Genomic DNA, 24,251 nt, shown 5'->3' with positions numbered 1-24,251 from the left:
GACAAATATCTTGTAAAGAATTGGTACCCCATATAAATCTGAGTGCCAGAAAAGATTTCAAATTATCTTTAATAATATATTTGGGTCTTGCCGGGCACCGTGGCTCACGCCTCTAATCCCAGCACTGTGGGAGGCTGAGGCAGGCAGACTGCTTGAGGTCAGGAGTTCGAGACCAGCCTAGCCAACATGGTGAAACCCCATCTCTACTAAAAAAATACAAAAATTAGCCGGGTGTGGTGGCACACGCCTGTAGTCCTAGCTACTCAGGAGGCTGAGGCAGAAGAATTGCTTGAACCCGGGAGGCGGAGGTTGCAGTGAGCCGAGATCGCACCACTGCATTCCAGCCTGGGCAACAGAGCAAGACTCCGTCACAAAAAACAAAACAAAACAAAATAAAATATATGTGGGTCTTGAGAATCCACATCTTATTCCACTTAATTTTTTGGTTGGAATTGATTCTTCCATTCATGTTTGTGGTTTAATTCAGTAAGTACATGTGTAACAATAGCAATTTTCAGAAAGAAAATGAAAAACACCCTAAAAAGGGGCAGAAACCTTTTATGCTTCTAATACAGTGACTGCAATTCTTCACAGCTTTACAATTCAGGTTACTAGGCAAGGACTGTGCCTACTTGAAATTGTACCCTGGGCAGTATTCAACATGCTCTTAAATGTGAACTTTCTGATGTTAACCCTAATTATTATGCCCCATCCTTACTGTTGAGTAAAGGAAGTCAACTGCTCACTCCTGGGGGTAATAGTTAATTTTTCCCAGGCATCAAGATACTGATTAGGGCACTAGGCAAGGAATTTTACTAAATAGATCCTCTTAGGCCGGGCGCGTGGTGGCTCACGCCTGTAATCCCAGCACTTTGGGAGGCCGAGGCGGGCGGATCACGAGGTCAGGAGATCGAGACCATCCTGGCTAACAAGGTGAGAGCCCGTCTCTACTAAAAAAAAATTTACAAAAAACTAGCCGGGCGTGGTGGCGGGCGCCTGTAGTCCCAGCTACTCGGGAGGCTGAGGCAGGAGAATGGCGTGAACCCAGGAGGCGGAGCTTGCAGTGAGCCGAGATCGCACTACTGCACTCCAGCCTGGGCGACAGAGCAAGACTCCGTCTCAAAAAAAAAAGATCCTCTTACCCAGGAAGAGATCATTCCTCTCTCCTTGTGAGCACTTTCCTCCCAGAGTGGGGTTGACGCACCCTCTGACTCAGCATGGTCACACACAATAAACATCTGAGAAATTATTGTTTTTGCTAGAGTCTCTGATGCAATCTAGCTTATTTAGTGACCAAAAAGATTCCAGATATCAACTTCCTATTGGGCCCATAGTTCTTTCCCTCAGCGTCTTTTTTTCCCCTGAACTCCCCGCTCCCACCAAACTAATACATCAAAGGTGTTGGTCACCATTTTCTCTCCCATCCAAGTGATAAGTTCACTGTCAATTAGAACTCCTTTACTAAGCAGGTTTGATTAATAATCAGCTATATTCTTTTTTTTATTTAGATGGAGTCTAGCTCTGTCACGCAGGGTGGAGTGCAGTGGTGAGATCTCGGCTCACTGCAAATTCCACCTCCCAGGTTCAAGCGATTCTCCTGTCTCAGCCTCTGGCGTACCTGGGATTACAGGCACCAGCCACCAAGCCCAGGTAATTTTTTTATTTTTAGTAGAGACGGGGTTTCACTGTGTTGGCCAGGCTGGTCTCAAACTCCTGACCTTGTGATCCGCCCGCCTCAGCCTCCCGAAGTGCTGGGATTACAGGTGTGAGCTACTGTGCTCGGTCCAGTTATATTCTTACATGCAATTATTGTATCATGCCTTAAACTTTTCTTCTTCTGGCAAAGCAACTATAATCATTAACTATTCCTATTTGTTCACCATCTTAGTACTGGTGATTCATGTAAGCTTGGTAGCCACTTGGATTCCCATAAGGTTTTTTGCTCTGTTATCAACTAGTAACCATTTCCATTTATCATACTGTGCAATTTATTGGTTCTTCAGGACACTATCTTCTATTTCTTTAAATTTGTTGATAGGAGACCCAAATTTATCAAAACCTCTTCCAAATGATTAGCAATTCAGTAGAAGTTAGTTATGTGGCCGGGCATGGTGGCTCATGCCTGTAATCTCAGCACTTTGGGAGGCCGAGGCAGCCGGATCGCCTGAGGTCAGGAGTCTGAGACCAGCCTGGTCAACATATTGAAACCCCATCTCTACTAAAAAGACAAAAATCAGCTGGGCATGGTGGCGGATGCCTGTAATCCCAGCTACTCTGGAGGCTGAGGCAGGCAAATCACTTGAACCTGAGAGGCGGAGGTTGCAGTGAGCCGAGATCATGCCACTATACTCTAGCCTGGATGACACAGTGAGATTCTGATTCAAAAAAGAAAGAAAGAAATTAGTCACGTGTAGTCATACATATGCTGACAAAACTTACTTTAAAATTATAAAAAACATAAACATATTTTGAATATATTTTAGACAGTGTATTTTACTGGACTAAATAATTCACATTTCTTACATTTTATTTTCTATTTTATTCTAAAATGTTTAATTATCTTGAATAATATTCATTCTTGTTAACTGTATCCATATTTAAAACACTTGTACAATTGTGGATGTAAATTGAAATAATTTCCTTTCCTACTTATCTGGCTTTTTAAAAAAACAATAGAGATAGGGTCTCACTATGTTGCCCAGGCTGGTCTTGAACTCCTGGGCTCAAGCAGTCCTCCCACCTAAGCCTCCCAAAGTGCTGGGATTATAGGCATGAGCCCCGGCACCTGGCTAGCCTTTTTTATTACAGACAGGGCCTCATTCTGTTGTCCATGCTGGAGTGCAGTGGGGCACTGCAGCCTCAACATTTTGGGCTCAAGTGATTCTCCCACCTCAGCCTCCCAAGCAGCTGGAACCACAGGTGCATACCTCCACACTTGGCTAATTTTTGTATCTTTTTTAGAGACAGGATCTTGCCATGTTGCCCAGGCTGGTCTTGAACTCAGCGCAAGCAGTCCTCCCACCTCAGCCTCTCAAAGTGCTAGGATTACAGATGTAAGCCATTGTGCCTGGATGGCTTTTTTTTTTTTTTTTAAGTAAGGTTGGGAAGCTCCATGAACTTCATCATGGAAATATTATAAACTCGAGTGTCCTGGATTAGAAAACATCACGTTTCTATGAATGAAATATTTAAGTATTCAAATATAGAAATAAAGCAAACATGAAAACCATTCTTTCTGATTAGGTGTGAATTGAATATACTTTTAAGAATCTAGGACTAGTCATGGTGGCTTACGCCTGTAATCCTAACACTTTGGGAGGCTAAGGTGGGAGGATCACTTGAGGCTAGGAGTTTGAGCCCAGCCTGGGCAACATAGTGAGACCCTGTCTCTACAAAAAATTTAAAAATTAGCCAAGTGTGTGGCTGGGCACGGTGGCTCACGCCTGTAATCCCAGCACTTTGGGAGGCCAAGGCGGGTGGATCACCTGAGGTCAGGTGTTTGAGACCAGCCTGGCCAACATGGTGACACCCTGTCTCTACTAAAAATACAAAAAATTAGCCGGGTGTGGTGGCAGGCACCTGTAATCCCAGCTACTTGGGAGGCTAAGGCAGGAGAATTGCTTGAATCTGGGAGGCGAAGGTTGCAGTGAGCTGAGGTCATGCCATTGCACTCCAGCCTGGGTGACAAGAGGGAAACTCCATCTTAAAAAAAACAAAAAAAGAATCATCACTAGGCAGCCAAAATTTATTTACCTAAGTATTTTCTTCAGGAATTTTCTAAGAACTGGAAAAATAATAACTAAATTGACAGCAGTCTGTCTCAATTATGGGAAAGTAATTGCTAATGGTAAAACAGGCACTAGAATATAGTTACCTTATTCTGAATAACTGTGCTGAAGCTGCATTCTCCCTGAGTCATGCCATCAAATTAAAGAGGTGATTTCAACAGCAGCAATGATGAACTTGAATCAGCAATGTCCTGGGTGCTAGTTATTGTATGTATGTTTAACAGGACTTTGATTTACTAAGTCTGTGTGGCACTTAGGCTCCTTCTGAAATTTCCATACCTGCATGTTTTACAAGCCATCGAAGTTATAGTTTTTCAGTGATATTTCAAAATTGGGGAAAATGATCAATCTATGAGCAGGATTTGGAGCAATCATTATATCCTACACTATTTACTGAGTGGCAACACTATGAGATACTGTACACACTGATGTGTGCGTTAAGGGAGGAAGTAATGGGATCAGTTCCCCAGATTTAAATTCTGGCTCTACCACTCCCCAGCTACGTCATCTCTATTACTAATACCTGCGAAATGGGGATGTTGATAATAATAACACCTACCTCATAGAGGTGTTTGAAAGACTAAATAATCTGTGTAAAGCTCTGCGCAGGAGTAAGTGCTTAATAAATGTTAATTGTTTTTATTGTATTACACTTAAAAAAATTCTTCTGGGCCAGGCATGGTGGCTCATGCTGGTAATCCCAGCACTTTCAGAGGCCGAGGCAGGCAGATCACCGGAGGTCAGGAGTTTGAGACCAGCCCGGCCAACGTGGTAAAACCCCGTCTCTACTAAAAATACAAAAATTAGCCAGGTATGGTGGCGCACACCTGTAGAGGCTAAGGGAAGAGAATCGCCTGAACCTGGGAGGCGGAGGTTGCAGTGAGCCGAGATCACACTACTGCACTTCAGCCTGGGAAACAAGAGCGAGACTCCATCTAAAAAAAAAAAATTCTTCTAAGAATTTCATCTTTTAAAAAGTATGAGGCCAGACATAGTGCCTTAAACCTGTAATGCCAGCACTTTGGGAGACCAAGGCGGGAGGATCACTTGAGCCCACTTTGAGACCAGCCTGGGCAACGCAGCAAGACCCTGTATCTAAACAAAAAAGAAAGAAAGAAAGCGAATACTGAGTATCCTGTGAATTAGTATGCAACCAATCTATAGTTCAGTACTAGAAATATAAAGCATTAAATGACTTTTTACACATAATATATTTTGTTTTTTACACATAATACTTTATATCAAAAATTTTATTTCCAGTCAGTCAACAGTAATAAGAATGAGAAAACCTTGGTTTTAGAAACTACCTCCCAGACAGAAAGTAAGTATATAGGCTGGGGTGGCTCACACTTGTAATCCCAGCACTTTGGGAAACCGAGGCCAGTGGATCACTTGAGGCCAAGAGTTTGAGACCAGCCTGGCCAACATGGTGAAACTATGTCTCCATAGTTTCACCCCATCTCTACTAAAAATACAACAATTAGCTGGGTGTGGTGCCACACGCCTGTGTCCAACTATTCTGGAGACTGAAGCAGGAGAATTGCTTGAACTCAGGAGGTGGAGGCTGCAGTGAGCTGAGATCACGCCACTGCACTCCAGCCTGGCCAACAGAGCGAGACTGTCTCAAAAAGAAAAAAGAAAGTAAGTATATAAATATGAGATAGTACTTGAGTTATTACTTGAGGTTAAGCTACTAAAAGCAATATCCCCATATTTTGAATTATGACCTTATAGCACCAATACCTATTGCAGTACCTTGCACAGATATTCAATAAACATTTGTTCAATGAATAAATGAATGAAAAGTAAAAGCATACTTATAGCCAAGAATATGAAGAGAATGTTTACTTTTTTTTTCATTTAGGTCTGGCAATGTAATTTCCAACCAATGATCTGAATACAGGTCATATAAACTGAGCTCTCTGGACAGAAGAGTAATGCATCATGGCAAATTATAATCGTTGCTTTTATAACTGGTAAAAATCTGAGCTGACAGACAGATGGATTAACAACAGTTCTTCACTGTTGCTGGAGGACAAATGAAAGCCAATGTGCTACCAATGGAAGATTAATGACATTACTTTTTATGGAGCTAGATAAATGTGCAAATGTATTGCAAATTTAAAAAAAGTTACCCATGGCCAGGCGTGGTAGCTTACGCCTGCAATCCTATCACTTTGGGAGGCCAAGGTGGGCAGATCACCTGAGGTTGGAGTTCGAGACTAGCCTGGCCAACATGGTGAAACCCCATCTCTACTAAAAATACACACACACAAAATAGCCAGGCACGGTGGCTCATGCCTGTAATCCCAGCTACTCGGGAGGCTGAGGCAGGAGAATCGCTTGAACCTGGTTGGCGGTGGTTGCAGTGAGCTGAGATCGCATCACTGCACTCCAGCCTAGATGACATAGGAGGACTCTGTCTTGGAAAAAAAAAAAGCTACTCACTGGAATAAGAAGGAAGAGTAAAAAGAAACATGTTATTTAAGGACATTTTACCTTTGCCTGATTTATATGGACTGATTGTCTTATTAGTCTAAATATATTCATGTGGTAGGCAGAATAATGGCTCCCAAAAGTGCCCATGTTCTAATTCCCTAAACCTGTGAATATGTTACCTCATCTGGCAAGACGGATTTCTGTAGATGTGATTAAAGTAAGGATCTTAAAATGGGGAGATGATCCTGGAGTATCTGTGCGGACCCAATGTAATAAGAAGCATCTGTATGAGTGAGGCAGGAGGATCAGAGGTAGCAGATTAGAAGATTCTATGCTGTTGGCTTTAAAGATGGAAAAAGGGAACATGTGCCAAGGAATGCAGGTAGCTTCTAGAAGCTGGAAAAAACAAGGGAATGGATTCTCCCACAGCCCCCAGAAGGGATGCAGGCCTTTTGAGATCTTAATTTTAACCCACTATAACCCATTTCAGACTTCTATCATCCTGAATTGTAAGAAAAAAATTTGTTTTATTTTAAGCCTCTCGATGTGGTAACTTGATAGAACAGTAAGTGGAAACAAACTCATTAATCTGCATCTAACCTATGAAGATGCTAATTTGAGATAGTAAACGGGTGTTGTTGTAAGCTGCTAGGCTTGAGGTAATTTGTTACAGCAGCAATATAAAACTATACAACTGGTAGCCAGGCCCACTGGCTCGCACCTGTAATCCCAACACCTCGGGAAGCTGAGACGGCAGGATGGCTTGAGCCCAGGAGTTCAAACTCAGCATGTTCAACATAGTGCAACCTGTCTCTACAAGAAATAAAATATTAGCTAGGGTTGGTTATGCATGACTGTAGTCCCAGCTATTCAAGAGGCTGAGGTAGGAGGATCACTTAAACCCAGGAGGTGGAGGTTGCAGTGAGCTGTCATTGCCCCACTGCACTCCAGCCTGGGCAACAGCACAAGACGCAGTCTCAAAAAAAAAAAAAAAAAAAAAAAAGGAAAAAGAGAAGAGGAGAAAGAGGAGAGGAGAAAGAAAGAAAGAAAGAAAACAAAACTACATAAACTGTCTGTAATAACACATTTTGACATCATGTACTCCCTGATAGGACATCATGTCTGAGATTCTTGCCAAAAATATATTAACTCATCTAATCATGAGAAAACATAAGACAAGCCCAAACTCAGGGACAGTTATACCAAGTAACTGACTAGAACTCTTCAAAAATGTCAAGGTCATGAAAGACAAGGAAAGATTAACTCTCTGGAAGAGAAAAAGGACATTAGGTCAAATGTAGTGGCTCATGCCTGTAATCCTAGGACTTTGGGAGGCTGAGGCAAGAGGATCACTTGAATCAAGGAGTTCAAGAGCAGCCTGGGCAACACAGCAAGACTCCATCTCTACTAAAAAATAAAAAATAGCCAGGCATGGTGGTTCAAGTCAGCAGTCCCAATTACTTGAGAGGCTGAGGTAGGAGGATCACTTGTGTCTAGGAGTTCAAGGCTGCAGTGAGCTGTGATTGTGCCACTGCACTCCAGCTTGGCAACAGAGTGAGAACCTGTCTCAAAAAAAGAAAAGAAAAAAGAAAAAGAACATTAGTGGGAAACTGGTGAAATCTGAATATGTCTGTACTTAACAACAAGATGACAATAAGATACACTTGAATTATTTCTCTCTAGAATTGGGCTAGTCTATGTAATCTTAAGCAATTCACTTGCTAGTACTTGTTTTTTCCAATTGTTAAGATGAAAAGTGTCTGTAATGTGCTTTAAGATTCTTAGCTGAAATAGTAACAGTTATGTTGCTTACTGTTTTCATTTTAATAATTCTATTTTCCTTTAAGGGAGCTTAATTTTGGAAGAGTTAGTGTGCTTCAAGAGCCTTTTTTTTTTTTTTGACGGAGTCTTGCTCTGTCGCCCAGGCTGGAGTGCAGTGGGGTAATCTCGGCTCACTGCAACCTCCGCCTCCTGGATTCAAGAGTTTCTCCTGTCTCAGCCTCCCGAGTAGCTGGGATTACAGGCGCACACTACCACGCCCAGCTACTTTTTTGTATTTTAGTAGAGACGGGATTTCACCGTGTTGCCCAGGCTGGTCTTGAACTCCTGAGCTCAGGCAACCCAGCCACCTTGGCCTCCCAAAGTGCTAGGATTAAAGGCGTGAGCCACCGCGCCCGGCCTGCTTCAAAAGACTTAACATGCAGTCCGCGAGGTGGCTCACGCCTGTAATCCCAGCACTTTGGGAAGCCGAGGCGGGCGGATCACTTGAGGTCAGGAACAACCTGACCAACATGAAGAAACCCCGTCTCTACTAAAAATACAAAATTAGCCGGGCGTGGTGGCACGTGCCTGTAATCCTAGCTACTCCGGAGGCTGAGGCAGGAGAATCCCTTGAACACAGGAGGCGGAAGTTGCGGTGAGCCAAGATTGCGCCATTGCGCTCCAGCCTGGGCAACAAGAGTGAAACTCTGTCTTAGAAAAAAAAAAGACTTAACATGCCACAACATTATAATAATTTTGATGCAGTAGTATAGATTAATGAAAGTAAATATATGCTGGGCATGGTGGCACATGTCTATAATCCCAGCTAATTGGCAGGATTGCTTGAGCCCAGGAGCTCGAGACCAGCCTGGGCAACGTATTGAGACCCTGTCTCTACAAAAAGAAAAACAAAAAAATTAGCCATGCATAGTGGGGCACCTGTGGTCCCAGCTACTCACCGCTTAGGAGGCTGAAGTGGGAGGATCACTTGAGCCTGGGAGGTCGGGACTGCAGTGAGCCAAGATCTGCACTCCAGCCTGGACAACAGAGCACGACTCTGTCAAAAAAAAAAGAGTTCTTTTTTCTTTTTGAGACGGAGTCTCGCTCTGTCTCCCAGGCTGGAGTGCAGTGGCCCGATCTCGGCTCACTGCAGGCTCCGCTCCCCAGGTTCACGGCATTCTCCTGCCTCAGCCTCCCGAGTAGCTAGGACTACAGGCGCCTGCCACCTCGCGCGGCTAATTTTTTGTACTTTTAGTAGAGACAAGGTTTCACCGTGTTAGCCAGGATGGTCTCGATCTCCTGACCCCGTGATCCGTCCGCCTCGGCCTCCCAAAGTGCAGGGATTACAGACGGGCACTTGCACCCGGCCGATTCATTGAGTTCTGTACTGAAAGACAGAATAGTTGTATGGTTACCATGGTAAAGCTGAAAAATCCTAAGTCAAACCATGGTAAATCAGGGACCATCTGTACTAAGTCGTCCAGTTTTTTTTTTTTTTTTTCTTTTGAGACACAGTCTTGATCTGCCGCCCAGGCTAGAGTGCAATGGCACGATATTGGCTAACTGCCACCTCCGCCTCCTGGGTTCAAGCAAGTCTCCTGGTTCAGCCTCCGGAGTAGCTAGGAGATTACAGGTGCCTGCCACCACGCCCAGCTAATTTTTGTATTTTTAGTAGAGACGTGGTTTCACCATGTTGGCCAGGCTGGTGTCGAACTTCTGACCTCAGGTGATCCACCTGCCTCAGTCTCCCAAAAGTGTTGGGCTTACAGGCGTGAGCCACCGTGCCCGGCCCAATCTTCCTGCCTCAGTATCCAAGTGATGGGATTATAGGCATGAGCCTCTGCGTCCAGCCAACACTTCATTGTAAAATGACTTTGTGTTTAATGATTCTGCCCAGTTGTAGGCTATTGTAAGTGTTCCAAGCTCATTTAAGGTAGGCTAGGCTAAGCTATGATGTTTGGTGGATTAGGTACATTAAATGCATTTTTTATTTAAGAATATTCCCAATTCGCAATAGGTTTATCATGATGTGACCCCATAACACCTGTACATTGTGGAGGCTTTTTGTTATTGGTTTGGTGTTTGCTTTTTGCTTTTATTTCAGAATAAGGAGTTAGCATGTGTGACATAGTAAGAAATAGATATATATGTGTATATATATAGAGAGAGAGATATGTATATATATGTGTATCTATCTATCTATCTATTTGGACTTTGTCCCTGATTTTTGACACAGAGCTCTTAAAACTGCCATTTCTTGAGTGATAGGGATGATAGGAGCGTCGTTTGTTCTAATATTTGGTCTCTGTCCCCAGTTTCCGACACAGAGCTCCTTAATCTCTTGGAATTTCCTGGTTGATAGAAGCATCTTTTGTTCTACTGAGGTTTCTTGCTGGGGCCCTAGATAGCTTCAGGATGGGGCCTGGTCACCAGAAAGACTAGACCTTGATGAGAAGCCTGGAACTTTCAGCCCATCCCCTCAATATGTGGGGAAGTGTGAAGAGCTGAAGACTGAGTTAATAATTGGTCATCCTGATTTGACAAAACCTCCATAAAAACCCCTAATGACAGGTTCAGTGAGCTTCTGGGTTGGTGAACACATCAAATTGCTAGGAGGGTGGTGTGCCCAGAGAGGGCGCGGGGCTTCCAACACCCCTGCCAATATCTTGCTCTCTGCATCTCTTCTGTTTGGCTGTTCCCAAGTTATATCTTTTATAAAGAGCCAGTAAATATTAATATAAGAGTGCTCCTGAGTTCTGTGAGTCATTGTAGCAAATTATCAAGCTGAAGGGGAGAAAGTTGTGGGAACTCCCTGACTTTGTACCCAAGAAGTGTGTGTGGGTAACCTGGGGACCCAATACTTGCGAATGGCATTGGAATTGAGGACTCTTTAAAACCTGTGGAGTCTGCTGCTAATGCTGGGCCGTTAATGTTAGAATTGAATTGAATTGTAGGATACCCCGTTGGTGTCCGGAAAGTTGGAGAATTGGTTGGTGTGAGAAAAAATTCACACATTTGATGTCAGAATTTCTGAGGAAAAATAGCTCGGCATGTAAAACCATAAATACACAAAATCCTTTCAGACAGCTTAAAAGAATGCACATGTTCCAAGTTTTCTGAACTCAAGTCAAGATAAAGAGATAGAAGCAAAAATGAACTCAGTAATGTATTACTCTAATAGTTTGATTCAGAGAAAATAAAAACTCCCTTCTAACAGGAAAAAAAAAAGACAAATGGCCTGCATAGTGCAGTTACGTGAGCTTTCTAATAATGCAAACGGCAGTCTGTTATTTCCCTACAATTTTTTTTCTTAGCTTCATTTCAGAGAGGACACAAACCGTAGAAATTGAATGATAACTTATCATATCATTGATCATCATTGTATGAAGTGTTCAGTTTGCAGCTCATAAATTTAGGTAACATCATTTTTCCCCTCCTCCTCAATAGAGAGAGACATAATGGTTACTGTCTAGCTCAACGCTGGCTTAACGGCCTCCTCTGAGGTTAATGTTAACATCATTCTGGACAGGGCAACAGGAAGCATCTGTATATCTTACCACAAAATGAGATGATCCATTTTCCCCCCATTTGAAATATAAATTCTGTTGGTATTAAATTACTTAATTGCTCTTGCTTTATATATACATTTAAAATATTTAGATATATTGTAGTAATAGCCTTAGAGAAAATTAAAATGACTTATGATTATGTAAATATTCCTTTAGTTTTTCCCAGTTGGTCAATATAGGTTCTTATTTTTTTTCTCTCTATGATTTAAAGGAAACTTGGGTTATGAAGGCTATTCTTACAATCTTTTTTTGTTCTTATGTTCTAGAACCACTGATGGTGACAACAGAACTCAGGGAATGTTAGTCAATTAACAGCTGCCAAGTTACCCAGAGAAGCAGATGGTATATCTGATCATGTCCTACAAAATGTGAAAAGGGAATACTCAAAGATGTTTGCTCAAATATGCTAGAGTTTCCACACAAAAGGCTATAATGGCAACCATATATATTTTTACATCTTCTATGTTTGCTTTTTACTCCAGGTGATTCTCTTATATTCCATTTTTAAATTTTTTGACCTGTACGGCTAGTCATCTTAAAATAACCTAGGATATGCACACGTTTTAAGTATCTTTGGCAATAGAAATGCACAACAGAAATATGTCAATAGAAAAGAAAAAGAATACTTAATACCACTCCCAGGTTTTTAAACTAGAGTATGGCCAATTGGAATATAATGCTTGAGGGTGGCTGAAATAACTAGAATTACACAGATATTTTGCTAATCATCTTGGACTTTTGTAGTGAGATGGTTAGAAAGTCCATGCTCAATTCCTCAGAGTCCTTCTCATTTAACCATCTAAAAGCCATACCTTAATTATCAAATAGTAAAGAATCCAAAATCTCAAATATTCATTAATCCAACAAATATTTACGGTGTATATTTCATCCCAGGCAGTGTTCAAGAGGCCAAATGAACAAACTAGACAAAAACAAAACAAAAAAAGACAAAATCTCCAGGCTTCGTGGAGCTTATATTTTCAAAAGCTTATATTTATAAAAGCTTACATATCAAGAGGATCTATATAAAAATAAATAACCCTAAAACAATAATTCTTTTGTCTCTTGCCAGACTGAAGACACTCGCAGGCAGGAGCTGTTTCCCCAATATCCTTACCACCTGTGCCTAGCACACTGTAAGTGATTTATAGACACTTCTTGAATACGTATGTATGTATCTATTATTATTAAAAAAATTTTTTTCAACCTTTTCAGCTCAAGCGATCCTCCTGCCTCAGCCTCCCAAATAGCTGGGACTACAGGCTCATGCCACCACAAGTGGCATATACACACACACACACACACACACACGTAGACACACACACATATACACATACACATATACACACATACATATATACATATGTGTGTGTGTGTGTGTGTGTGTGTGTGTAGAGTCTCCTCTATTGCCCAGGCTGGAGTGCAGTAGTGTGATCTACGCCCACAGCAACCTCCGCCTCCCAGGTTCAAGCGATTCTCCTGCCCCAGCCTCTTGAGCAGCTGGGATCACAGGCGTGCGTCACTACACCTGGCTATTTTGTAGAGACGGGGTTTCACCATGTTGGCCAGGCTGGTCTCGAACTTCTGACCTCAGGTGATCTGCCTGCTTTGGCCTCCCAGCTGGCTAATTTTTAAAATTTTTTATAGAGACATGGTCTCACTATGTTGGCCAAGCTGGTCTCGAACTCCTGGCCTCAAGTGATCCTCCCACCTCGGCCTCCCAAAGTGCTGGGATTGCAAACATGAGCCACTGTGCCTGGCTTGTGGTGTATTCTCTATGTACTATTTCTGAACCCCCTTTTATATTTTAAGACCTTCATTGATTCTGAAGGGCACCAAAATCTCAGCTAAACTTAAAATTATCCGGGTATTTAAGAATATCTGGGGCTGGGCGCGGCAGCTCACACCTGTAATCCCAGCACTTTGGGAGGCTGAGGCAGGCGGATCATGAGGTCAGGAGATTGAGACCATCCTTACATGGTGAAACCCCATCTCCACTAAAAGTGCTGGAGCCTTGTGCTTTATCTACTATGCCATTTAATCCTCAGAATACCCCAGTGAGGCAGGTACTATTATTATCTCTAGTTTTACAAATGAGGAAACTGAGAGGGTAAGGAGTGCTATGGTCTGAATGTGTATCCCAAGGTTTATATGTTGGAAACTTAATCCCCAAAGCAAAGAGGTTGAGAGGTGAGACCTTTATGAGGTGATCAGGTCATAAAAGCTCTGCCCTACTGAATGGATTCATGCTGTTATCACAGAAGTAGGTTAGTTATTGTGGGAGTGGGTTCCTGATAAAAGGATAAGTTCTGCCACCTTCCTTTCCTTCCTCCCCGCTTTCCCCACTCATACATGTACTCTCTTGACCTTCTGCCTTCTGCCATGCGATAACACAACAAAAAGACCCTCTTCAGATGTCAGCGCCATGCTCTTGGACTTCCTGTCTCCAGAAGTGTAAGAAATAAATTTCTCTTCTTTATAAATTTCTCAGTCTATGGCATACTGTTATAGCAGCATAAAACAGACTAGACTAGGAGCTTGCCCAGGGTTACACAGTAGGAAAATGGTAGAGCCAAGTTTCCAAATCAGATGGCCTTGACTCCAGAGATGAAGCTATTAATCACTACAGCTCCTGTTGCACATGTAGAAAAAAACCCAAAAAACTAAGAAAAGCTAGAAAACAACTCAAGGTATTAAATTAACAATAAGGTCAGTATAGACTCAACTTGGCCTCAGAAGGCTTCAGGGACAAGACTGTGAGCAAGTCATCAAGCAGAGTGGGATTTAATTGGCAGAGCTGAAAACAGAGAGCATCAGAACAAGAATAGAGGCATGAGAACAAGAATGGCCATGACTTGCTGTGTGGTGCCAAAAGAGCATTAACTTAGTAGAACGATGAGATCTAGTAATTTTTAGTAGAATCTTACCTGTTTTTTCTTTAAGAATAGAAGAAAATGCAAATACCTATAATACTATCATATGGCACCCAGGTATGCATAAACAAACTTCAAATTAGCTGCGCGTGGTGGCAGGCGCCTGTAATCTCAGCAACTCAAGAGGCTGAGGCAGGAGAATCACTTGAACCCTGGAGGCGGAGGTTGCAGTGAGCTGAGATTGTGCCATTGCACTCCAGCCTGGGTGACAAGAGCAAGACTTTGTCTCAAAACAACAACAACAAACTTCAATGTATATGGAGTAAATAGTACAATTTTCAGTTATTGAGGTCTTTTTTTCCTTCCTGGTGTACTAGAACTGGCTTTACCATTTAATATCTTTGATAATCTTTCCCTTGACCTGAGTTTAAGTCAAGCTATTTAGGTTGTCTTCATAGTTACTCCTTTTTTGTTTGAGAGGATTTTCCCTGTATTTTCCCATTCTTATCATCGAACTCTGGCAGTCTATAACAACTACATGGAGAAGATGTTATAGCACAGGAAGTCCAAACTTATTAATGGGCTGTGTTCCCATGAACATCACTGTAAATTAGTTGTTTGGAACCTGGAATTTGTTTTCCCATGGAAATAGTGGTTAAATTCCCAGCAGGTCTACAAAAGCTTGCTTAGCCAGGAATGCAGCAGAAATGAACACTGTCACCTTTGTGTTAACCTCTGCCTATTATTCAGAGGTCTCAATGGATTTCTCGCCTTACTTCAATGTTTTAGCTAACCACCACTTTTGGGACAGTTTTTAAAATTATATGGAAAAGGCTGACTATCACTTCTGATTCCACCACCCAATCATTCATACTGCTTTGGGGTGTTTCTTTTTACTAATTATTACTGAAAACATGACTTCAGTTGGGGAGTTGTTTTCCTTTTTCCAAGGTTAGGAGTCAGTAAAATAGCCCAAGAATGCCTATGGTATACAGTGTCTAGAATGTCACATTTTCTGCCTTTAGTATGATGAGAAGGCAGCACAAAATTGACCATCTGGTTCCTGGAGGGTATCTTTTGGCCTTTGTGGGGATTTAAAAACAAAACCAGGCCAGGCGCGGTGACTCACACCTGTAATCCCAGCACTTTGTGAGGCCAAGGCAGGCGAATCACAAAGTCAGGAGTTTGAGACCAGCCTGACCAACACAGTGAAAACCCGTCTCTACTAAAAATACAACAAATTAGCTGGGTGTGGTGGCAGGCACCTGCAATCCCAGCTACTCGGGAGGCTGAGGCAGGAGAATCACTTGAACCTGGGAGGTGGAGGTTGCAGTGAGCTGAGATCGCACCACTGCACTCCAGCCTGGGTGACAGAGTGAGACTCCATCTCAAAAAAAAAAAAAAAAGGCAAAACAAAACCAAACACCCACTTCTTGGTTTCTGGTATGAAATCAGAGGTCTAACTGCCCCAGGCTAGATATTAGCATTAGGGAGATTACCTGATCAACGCTCATGTTTGACTACAGCTGAATATATAAATATATATAGTATTTTTTTATATATACACATATATATGTGTGTGTGTATATATATATGTGTATATATATACACACATATATGTGATATACATATATATGTGTGTGTGTGTATATATATATATATATATATATATATTTTTTTTTTTTTTTTTTTTTTTTTTTTGAGATGGAGTCTCACTCTGTCGCCCGGGCTAGAGTGCAGTGGCGTGATCTCGGCTCACTGCAACCTCCACGTCCCAGGTTCAAGCGATTCTCTTCCCTCAGCCTCCAGAGTAGCTGGGATTACAGGCCCCTGCCACTATGCCCAGCTAATTTTTTGTATTTTTAGTACAGACACGGTTTCACCATGTTGGCCAGGCTGGTCTCAAACTCCTGACCTCGTGATTCACCCGCCTCGGCCTTTAAAAGTGTTGGGATTACAGGTGTGAGCCACCATACCGGCCTTTTTTTTTTTTTGAGACAGGCTCTCACTCTGTTGCCCAGGCTGGAGTGCCGTAGTGCGATCACAGATCACTGTGACCTCCAACTCCTGGGCTCAAGTGATCCTCCCTCCTCAGCCTCCTAAAGTTTTGGGATTACAGGTGTGAGCCACCACGCCCAGCTTTGAATCTTTATTGAAGAAATTTCATAGTCAATCTAAAGCTATGATGTGTATGTCTGTCTGCCAAATACAGTGTTTATCTCAGAAACACTTTCTTGTAACCACAATAAAACCAAAATCTTTATTTTAGGTAGAAACATTACCAACAAATGTTTGCAAAACAGAAAGGCTTTAAAGTGAAAAAAATTTGAGTCTATGGCCATCATAATAGTGTGGCTTTGAAAACTTTCAGGCTATGTACATACCCTATTTCTACTCCCTCACCTCCTTGGGAGTTTTTAAATTTTATTTATTTTATTTTATTTTTTTGAGACAGAGTCTTGCACTCCAGTCTGTTGCCTAGGCTGGAGTGCAGTGGCGCGATCTCCGCTCGCTGCAACCTCCGCCCCCTGGGTTTAAGTGATTCTTCTGCCTCAGCCTCCCTAGTAGCTGAAAGGCTAATTTTTGTATTTTTAGTAGAGGTGGGGTTTCACCATGTTGGCCAGGCTGGTCTTGAACTCCTAACCTCAGGTGATCTGCCTGCCTTGGCCTCCCAAAGTATTGAGATTACAGGCATGAGCCACCGCGCCTGGCTGATATTTTCTTAATAATTTTAGCTGGGCATGGTGGTGCATGCCTGTAGTCCCAGCTACTCAGGAGGGTGCGGCAGGAAAATCGCTTGAACCCGGGATGCATAGGTTGCAGTGAGCTGCGATCACACCACTGCACTCCAGCCTGGCAACAGAGTGAGACTCTGTCTCAGAAAAAAAAAAGAAAGACAGAAAACTAAAATAATTAATACCAAAAGGTAGATCAATGAAAGAGTCTAATGATACTAAAATTATTAAGGTTGTTGGGGAAGGTGGTTCACGCCTGTAACCTCAGCACTTTTGGCAGGCAGAGAGAGGAGGATAGCCTGAGCTCAGGAGTTTCAGACTAGCTTGGGCAAAATAGCAAGACCCCATCTCTATGTAAAAAAAAATAATAATAAAAATAATTTTTAAAAAATATTGCCCGAGTGCAGTGGCTCACGCCTGTAATCCCAACACTTTGGGAGGCCAAGCTCAGGAGTTTGAGACCAGCCTGGCCAACTTGGGGAAACCCCGTCTCTACTAAAAATACAAACATTAGCCGGGTGTGGTGGTGGGCACCTGTAATCCCAGTTACTTGGAAGGCTGAGGCAGGAGAATAGCTTGAACTCAGGAGGCGGAGGTTGCAGTGAGCCGAGATCGCGCCACTGCACTCCAGCCTGGGCAGAGCAAGACTCTGTCTAAAAAAAAAAAAGAATTAAGGTAAGCATTTCCTACTTCAACTAACGGCCAAACAGCTATTTGTGAAATGAAGGTATAATAGAATAAGTTAGTGCTTTATACAATATACTGCTCATTTTCAGGATCAGGAACAAAGTCTCTGTTAATCATAACGCGTTTATTTTTGTTATTTATTCGCATTCCTCAAAACAACTGATAGATTAGGTGCTAGACTTCACGAAAGTGAAATAAGCCACTGGTTGCCACCCATGAATGAAGGGGGCTCCAATAGCTGGCTACTCAGTTTGTTTTTGGCAAAGAGCATAGAGCACGAACCTAGCACTTCAAGCATAGTGCACAGAATTGTGACAGGCACCTTGGACACTCTAAACCAGGAGAATTGAGAATCTTATTGGAAAGCTTTTGGGCCGAGAAGGTACATGATCCCTGACAGGAAAGACAATTATCCCATCTTTATTTTTTTTTAAAAAAGAAAAGAAAAATGTAATACTTTTTGGAGCTCTTACAGGAATTAAATAAGAAAACATAGAGAAAAGTATCCAATAAGGTCATAAAGATGCATTAAGTGCTCAATAATGTAGCCAAATTTGAGTAGTGGAAATTTTATTGGGAAAAAAATAGCTTCCTCAAATTATATCAGTAGTTTTAGCCCAGGTGTGGTGGCTCACACCTGTAATCTCAGCACTTTGGGAGGCAGACGCAGGCGGATCACCTGAGGTCAGGAGTTTAAGACCAGCCTGGCCAACCTGGTGACACTCTGTCTCAAAAAAAAAATTAAAAAAAAAAATTATATCAGTAGTTTTGTTAGCATTTGCAGATTCTATGAATCAGACATAGCAATTTTTTTGCGACAGCGTTTCACTCTTGTCGCCCAGGCTGGAGTGCAATGGTGCAATCTCAGCTCACTGCAACCTCCGCCTTCCAGTTGAAGTGATTCTCCCGCCTCAGCCTCCAGAGTAGCTGGGATTACAGGCATCTGCCACCACACCCAGCTAATTTTTGTATTTTTAGTAGAGACAGGGTTTCACCATGTTGGCCAGGCTGGTCTCAAACTCCTGACCTCAGTTGATCCACCCACCTCTGCCTCCCAAAGTGCTGGGATTACAGGCGTGAGCCACTGTGCCTGGCCTCAAGTCTTGAATATTTTGCTCAATTGATGGATAAATATCATAGACTATAGCTAAGCAGAAGTCAAACTTTATAAAGAGAAAAGCACTGAAATGCTAAGCTGATGCAGCATAGCCCTATCCACTGACAGACAAGTTCCTTTGGTCACAAGGGGCATTGCAAAAAAGGGTGCAGCCAGCTTAATGCAAACAAGCACATTTTATTTTAATTTTTGTTTTTGGAGAAAGGGTCTGGCTGTGTTGCCCAGGCTGGTCTCAAACTCCTGGGCTTAAGCAATACTCTCACCTAGGCCTTCCAAAGTGCTGGGATCACAGACATAAGCCATGGAATCTGATCACATTTTAATTTCTTGAAAAATTCAAAACATATCTATAAAGTCATGTCATATATAAAGAAAAATAAGTTGTTAGAAAACATGTTTTTCAATTTCGCCAGAGGTCTAGTTAAGGGATTTTCCTTGTGATAACTAATGTGTTTGATGTCTAAATGTTTAAAAAAAATATTGTAAATAGAACATAGCTTCACAATTGAGGTTTCCAAGATGATGAGAATCAGTTAATTTTACTTAACTTTTTCCACCAAACAAAGAGGAAGAAAACCACAGAAGAAAATCCAGAATAGGCCGGGCGCGGTGGCTCACACCTGTAATCCCAGCACTTTGGGAGGCCGAGGCGGGCGGATCACGAGGTCAGGAGATCCAGACCATCCTAGCTAACACAGTGAAACCCCGTCTCTACTAAAAATAGAAAAAATTAGCCGGGCGTGGTGGCGGGCGCCTGTAGTCCCAGCTACTCGGGAGGCTGAGGCAGGAGAATGGCGTGAACCCAGGAGGCGGAGCTTGCAGTGAGCTGAGATCGGGCCACTGCACTCCAGCCTGGGCGAAAGAGCAAGACTCCGTCTCAAAAAAAAAAAAAAAAAAAAAAAGAAAATCCAGAATATTTAGGTAAGTACTATATTCAAAGTTATATGATAAAGATAAGGTTCAGCTAGAAACTAATAAATATCCGATATATGCATTACATGAACTCACTTTTAAATCAGGACAATTTCTAAATTTGGAAGTTATTTCTAAATGTTGTGTAATAAATTTTACAAAGAAATTAAATATTCTACTGATTCAGGGCACTAATATAACAAATTCATTCCTGCCAGGTTAGTCAACATGTGTTAGAAAAATAACTTTTAATACAAGATTTAAATCATCATCCCCAGTAGAACATACAAAGATAGTCGGTTCTTTTTCTATTATTTTTCTCTTTCTTCACAAAAATAGAAAAATGTCTCTGCAATTTATCCTCCAATAAGCGTTCTATTGGAATCGATGTAAATGGGTACCCTTTGTCCCTCTCACCTCTGTGCTAACAGCATTGTTTAACTCTGATCCCATTTATCTAGTAAGCTTTGCTCATTTAAAAAAGTAAATTCATGACATCCACTGCAATATACAAAAAGTCTATCATACAGGCTGGCAGCACATTGGAAGTTCTGAACTAACATAACTAACAAAAATAGCCACATTTCTCAATTCTGTGACACAAAAAGCAGATAGCAACATGTGTAATGCACCAAAGATCTAGCTAGAGTTTAAAGAATCTAAATAAATAAAAAAATTAAATGCCCGGATATAATTCTTAATAAGCTATTTTACCTCAAGAAAAATCTAAGGCTGTCTTTAAAATCTCTTTCCAGTTTTACTGTATCCTTTCTGTATGGGCAGCATAACAGAATTTCCAGAAACAGGGGCCGTTTTTAAATCCCCAGTGATAGCTGCCTTTATCTGCACTGTGGAAAATGACACACTGTATCATGCCTTTCTGGACAGTCCATAGGTTTTATTTACATTGCTTTGAGAAACAGACGAAAGACATGTTTTTTTACAATTGTCTTACAGCAATCTGTTCTGAGAGTAACATGTAACACAAATTTTTATATGCAATATATGAAAACATAAATATTTATATATACAATAACATAACCAGACAAATAAATGAAGTTACTATTAAGTCTCTTTAAGTATAAATTTACAAACTGACCACCAGCCACAGAACTTAGCCCTGTAATGGAGAAAAATTATTACTGGCTTAAAAAAATATTAAAATATCACTGTCACTAACATGAAAAAAATTAAAAACAGAAAATAAAAAACAATAACCACCGGAAAACCTGTGTCTTGTAAAGATTTCTTTCCATCAGAAGATGCAGAAACATTTTTCCCCCTGGAGCAAATGAAAACGTTTCTCATGCACCCCCCGTTTCTTCCCTGCTTTCTCCCCCAGGCGCGGGTGTAGACGGCCGGTGTGGACTTTTTTCCAGAGATGAGAAGTAAAAATTTGTACTTTATCGGGAGCGGGTGCACTTTTCCCCCTGGCCCCCCTTTGCTCTGCCTCCAAGATGGTAGGAAAGTTGTCGTTTCGGAGGGCAGAGGAGCAGCTCTCTGGTGTTATGTCCTCGCAGTGCCTGTAGTGGTGCTGTAGGAGGCTGCTGCCTCTTCTTGTACAGCCCCGGCAGCCCTGCCTTCTTGGCTGGAGAGTATATTCAGGGATTTCCCCTTAATAATCACCGACCCTGGGAGCACTTTTTAGTTTCCAAAATAAAAATATGATCCTCACCCCTCTTGCTTGACAGGGAAAGGCTCTCGCCGGAGCCCAGGGGGGAGCAGTAGCAGCGGCAGCCGAGCTTCCTAGTCCATTGCCAGCGCCTCTCACTCTGATCTGTCAGCCCAGCCGAGGGAACAGGGGGGAAGGAGAAAAAAAAAAGCAGCTGAAAGGTAAGCAGAGGCGGCCCCAGGCCCGGCCCACATCCCCGGGCTCCCGTAGGGCGGCGGGCTGGGCCGCGCAGGCTGGGCGGGCGGCGAGCGCGCTTACGTGAGGCCGGGGATTCGCCGGCCCACGCCAGGCCCCGGGCGGAGAATGAAAGGGTGAGTGGGGCCGGCGCCCGGGTGGTGGAGGCCGGGGGCCTGAGGGCCTCCGGGGCGCCCGCGGGCGGCGACGGCGGGCGGGCAGGGGTCCAGCCGGAGCCGGAGTGGGGCGAGCGGAGCGGCCTGCGCGGGCCAGGTGGGGGTGTGCGGCGGGAGGGGGGGGCGCCGGTAGGCCTCGGGCCGGTAGGCCCCACGGCAGCCGCGCCCTGCCCCCGCACCCCGGGCCTCCGCGCGCCCCCTCGAGTCCCCCGGGGTCTCCGGGTGGGACGGCGGCGCTGCTGGGCCGAATCCCGCGCCGGCCCGGAGGCTTTCCCGCGGGGCGGCAGGCCCGGGCTGCCGGGACAGGGGCGTCAGGGCCTAGGAGTGGGGAGTGGGGAATGGGCGCCCGGCTCCCCTTCCCCCGGGTCTCTCGCAGACGGCCCCCAGATTCCGGTAAGAGTTGAATTTATTTATCCCCCTCCTCCGCGCTCCGGACGGCCAGGCCGGGGCGGGGCGGGGCGGGCGGCCTGGCGGGCGTGGGGTCGGGTGGAGGGGCGGTGAGGAGTCAGGTGCAGCCGCGGCCCAGAAAGTTTCCTTTTAGGCCCGAACTGGGGGCCGCTGTCTCTCCGGGGAGCCCTGGTCCTAGCGCCCGGGACCCCCCAGGGCGTGGGGGAGCGCACTCGGCTATTTTGAAACTCTTTGCCAGTTCCTGTCCATTGAAGAAGGTACTCCGCCCCTGCACCCCTCGCCCGCGCCCCACCCAACTCCCCGCGAGCCCATTCGGGGCTGCTAACTCCAGCCCCTTCCCCCTAGAGCCCCCCAGGTTGGGGAGAGGGCCTTCTCTTCCGGTTTGGAAAAGTTTGCAAGGGGCTTTTCTTAGCTTTATTAGTTAGTGACTGGGTTTTTGGGGTGGGAAGGAGGAGGTAAACTCAGGTGGTGTTTCTGCCGGACAATCTTTCCCTATTGCCTTTTTTAGCCCTTACCCCACCAACTGGGGGTGTTATTTTCAGCTTGAGTACCCACCCCCTTTCATCCCGATTCCTTTGGGTCCAAAATCCCCCTTCTGGACAGCTCCGGCGGAGAGGAAGATGTAGGGAGCAGCGAGGAGACTGTCAGTGAGAGGGGCAGGATCAGGCAGGGTTTCTGGAGCAGTCCCCAGATGTAGGAGTTTCCCCTCCTTTTTGGTCACTGTCCGGTAAAACCAACACCGGAACAGATCCCAAGGGGGAGACGTGGTTGTCAGATGGCTTGGAAGCCTCCGGGATTGGGAGGAGGGAGAGGAAGTGGGCAGGGCAGCTCCCGAAACAAGGTCTACAGTTTAAGGATCAGTAGTTCATTTATTCTGATAATCACTGTTTAGTTTTATGTGACATTCTTGTATTCGACCTAGAAATAGAGTAATGGAGATTTTAAGGAAACCTAAACTTGTTATTGCTACAACTCAGAAGGGTCTGTGGAAGAGCCCTCGGAACCTAGCAAAACTACTTTGGTTTTGGGGTGTGTGTGTGTGTGTGTGTGTGTGTGTGTGTGTATGTATAACATTTAAACGAAAAAAAAATATATGTGTATGTATATATTTTATATGCATATATAAACACATATATATTCATACACACACACGTATGTTTTCTGTTTAAATGGATTCAATTTTAGCTATATTTTGGTGCCCTGAGCTCTGAACGTTAAAAAAAAAAAAAGTGATAAACATAAATTTCCAAATCTCGATTTTCTGCTTTTCAGGGACAGGATGTTTCCCGTGGCTATGCTTACCTCCTTGTTGTTCTTGAGTGTTGACATTGAAATGTTAATAGACCCTGCCACCCCCCACTGCCAGTCCCCAGTGTGGGCGTGTTTGGAGAGGTTATTTTGCATCGTTTAATTGTTGGTTTTTTCCTTTTTTTTTTTTTTTTTGGTGAGCTTAGGGCAGAGTGTTGTGTTTATGTGCGGTGTCCTGCTTGGTAGCAGGCTGGAGTTGCTGGCAGGAGATGTCCCACATTCTGCCCACTCAGTACCCCCAGCACTGTTGTTAGTGAAAAGCTACCACTTGCAGGGCAATGGGTCACCCACGACTTTCAGTGCTGACTTCCGTGAGGCTTCGAAATGAGACTCATGTGATTCTTCTAGGTGTGTGCCTTTCTTTTCCTTTCGTCTGCCTAAGATCAAACTCTGTTTCTCCACAATGATAGATATCCGGTCATTTAGCATTGAGCTTAAGAAAATCTTGATATTTGAGATTGTATGGATCTGATACAAAAATGCAAATTACATTTAATGGTTGTTTTAAGTTTATTGATTAATTGAAATTGTTTATTGACATGGACATTTTTTTAAACATGTGTACCAAAAATCGTTACTTCTATTATAGTTTGTCCTTATTTTTAGAGCATATACTGGATGGAAAAAAATCA

At 43.4% G+C, this 24,251-nt stretch overlaps 1 protein-coding gene and 1 long non-coding RNA gene across 8 annotated transcripts in view, besides 11 other annotated features; one reads left to right on the top strand and one right to left on the bottom strand.

Moving 5' to 3' along the window:
• Nucleotides 1-20,110: 20,110 nt before the first annotated feature.
• Nucleotides 20,111-22,960, bottom strand: INO80D-AS1 (INO80D antisense RNA 1). Its single transcript, NR_186084.1, has 2 exons — nucleotides 22,867-22,960; nucleotides 20,111-21,658 (listed from the first exon to the last, which is right to left on the bottom strand). It is a non-coding gene; the product is annotated as an INO80D antisense RNA 1 (long non-coding RNA).
• Nucleotides 20,859-21,678: an enhancer, noted in NCBI's record as "H3K27ac hESC enhancer chr2:206950661-206951480 (GRCh37/hg19 assembly coordinates)". NCBI's record gives its function as "activates a minimal SCP1, AML or CMV promoter by ChIP-STARR-seq in primed H9 embryonic stem cells {active_cell/tissue: H9 hESC(primed)}" and the evidence as "EXISTENCE:reporter gene assay evidence [ECO:0000049][PMID:30033119]".
• Nucleotides 20,859-21,694: a biological region, named in NCBI's record as "H3K27ac hESC enhancer GRCh37_chr2:206950661-206951480".
• Nucleotides 21,185-21,294: an enhancer, noted in NCBI's record as "active region_17024". NCBI's record gives its function as "activates an Ori minimal core promoter by ATAC-STARR-seq in GM12878 lymphoblastoid cells {active_cell/tissue: GM12878}" and the evidence as "EXISTENCE:reporter gene assay evidence [ECO:0000049][PMID:35858748]".
• Nucleotides 21,305-21,354: an enhancer, noted in NCBI's record as "active region_17023". NCBI's record gives its function as "activates an Ori minimal core promoter by ATAC-STARR-seq in GM12878 lymphoblastoid cells {active_cell/tissue: GM12878}" and the evidence as "EXISTENCE:reporter gene assay evidence [ECO:0000049][PMID:35858748]".
• Nucleotides 21,405-21,694: an enhancer, noted in NCBI's record as "active region_17022". NCBI's record gives its function as "activates an Ori minimal core promoter by ATAC-STARR-seq in GM12878 lymphoblastoid cells {active_cell/tissue: GM12878}" and the evidence as "EXISTENCE:reporter gene assay evidence [ECO:0000049][PMID:35858748]".
• The window catches only part of INO80D (INO80 complex subunit D), a 92,454-nt gene continuing 89,643 nt past the window's right edge, over nucleotides 21,441-24,251 (top strand). For 3 of the 7 annotated variants that reach the window (XM_047444830.1, XM_011511375.3, NM_017759.5), the window contains exon 1: nucleotides 21,441-21,714. Coding sequence is in view for 1 of the 7 variants with exons in the window: in XM_011511369.4 (XP_011509671.1) it covers nucleotides 22,242-22,296 (55 nt within the window). In the remaining 6 variants the exon portion in view is untranslated. Of the gene's footprint in view, nucleotides 21,715-21,745; nucleotides 21,865-22,174; nucleotides 22,297-22,427; nucleotides 22,569-24,251 lie in introns of those variants that run through there. The other 4 variants (XM_011511371.3, XM_011511369.4, XM_011511370.3 and 1 more) reach the window with 4 other exon arrangements.
• Nucleotides 21,745-21,954: a silencer, noted in NCBI's record as "silent region_12265". NCBI's record gives its function as "represses an Ori minimal core promoter by ATAC-STARR-seq in GM12878 lymphoblastoid cells {active_cell/tissue: GM12878}" and the evidence as "EXISTENCE:reporter gene assay evidence [ECO:0000049][PMID:35858748]".
• Nucleotides 22,035-22,204: a silencer, noted in NCBI's record as "silent region_12264". NCBI's record gives its function as "represses an Ori minimal core promoter by ATAC-STARR-seq in GM12878 lymphoblastoid cells {active_cell/tissue: GM12878}" and the evidence as "EXISTENCE:reporter gene assay evidence [ECO:0000049][PMID:35858748]".
• Nucleotides 22,225-22,424: a silencer, noted in NCBI's record as "silent region_12263". NCBI's record gives its function as "represses an Ori minimal core promoter by ATAC-STARR-seq in GM12878 lymphoblastoid cells {active_cell/tissue: GM12878}" and the evidence as "EXISTENCE:reporter gene assay evidence [ECO:0000049][PMID:35858748]".
• Nucleotides 22,416-22,710: a silencer, noted in NCBI's record as "tiled region #7917; K562 Repressive non-DNase unmatched - State 1:Tss". NCBI's record gives its function as "represses a minimal TATA promoter and a strong SV40 promoter by Sharpr-MPRA in K562 cells {active_cell/tissue: K562}" and the evidence as "EXISTENCE:reporter gene assay evidence [ECO:0000049][PMID:27701403]".
• Nucleotides 22,465-22,514: a silencer, noted in NCBI's record as "silent region_12262". NCBI's record gives its function as "represses an Ori minimal core promoter by ATAC-STARR-seq in GM12878 lymphoblastoid cells {active_cell/tissue: GM12878}" and the evidence as "EXISTENCE:reporter gene assay evidence [ECO:0000049][PMID:35858748]".
• Nucleotides 23,323-24,144: an enhancer, noted in NCBI's record as "OCT4-NANOG-H3K27ac hESC enhancer chr2:206948195-206949016 (GRCh37/hg19 assembly coordinates)". NCBI's record gives its function as "activates a minimal SCP1, AML or CMV promoter by ChIP-STARR-seq in primed H9 embryonic stem cells {active_cell/tissue: H9 hESC(primed)}" and the evidence as "EXISTENCE:reporter gene assay evidence [ECO:0000049][PMID:30033119]".

The sequence above is a fragment of the Homo sapiens genome, chromosome 2 (genome assembly GCF_000001405.40).
Source record: "Homo sapiens chromosome 2, GRCh38.p14 Primary Assembly".
Classification (NCBI taxonomy): Eukaryota; Metazoa; Chordata; class Mammalia; order Primates; family Hominidae; genus Homo; species Homo sapiens.
The sequence above is the reverse complement of the archived record's forward strand: the minus strand, read 5'-3'. Positions and strand labels throughout refer to the sequence as shown.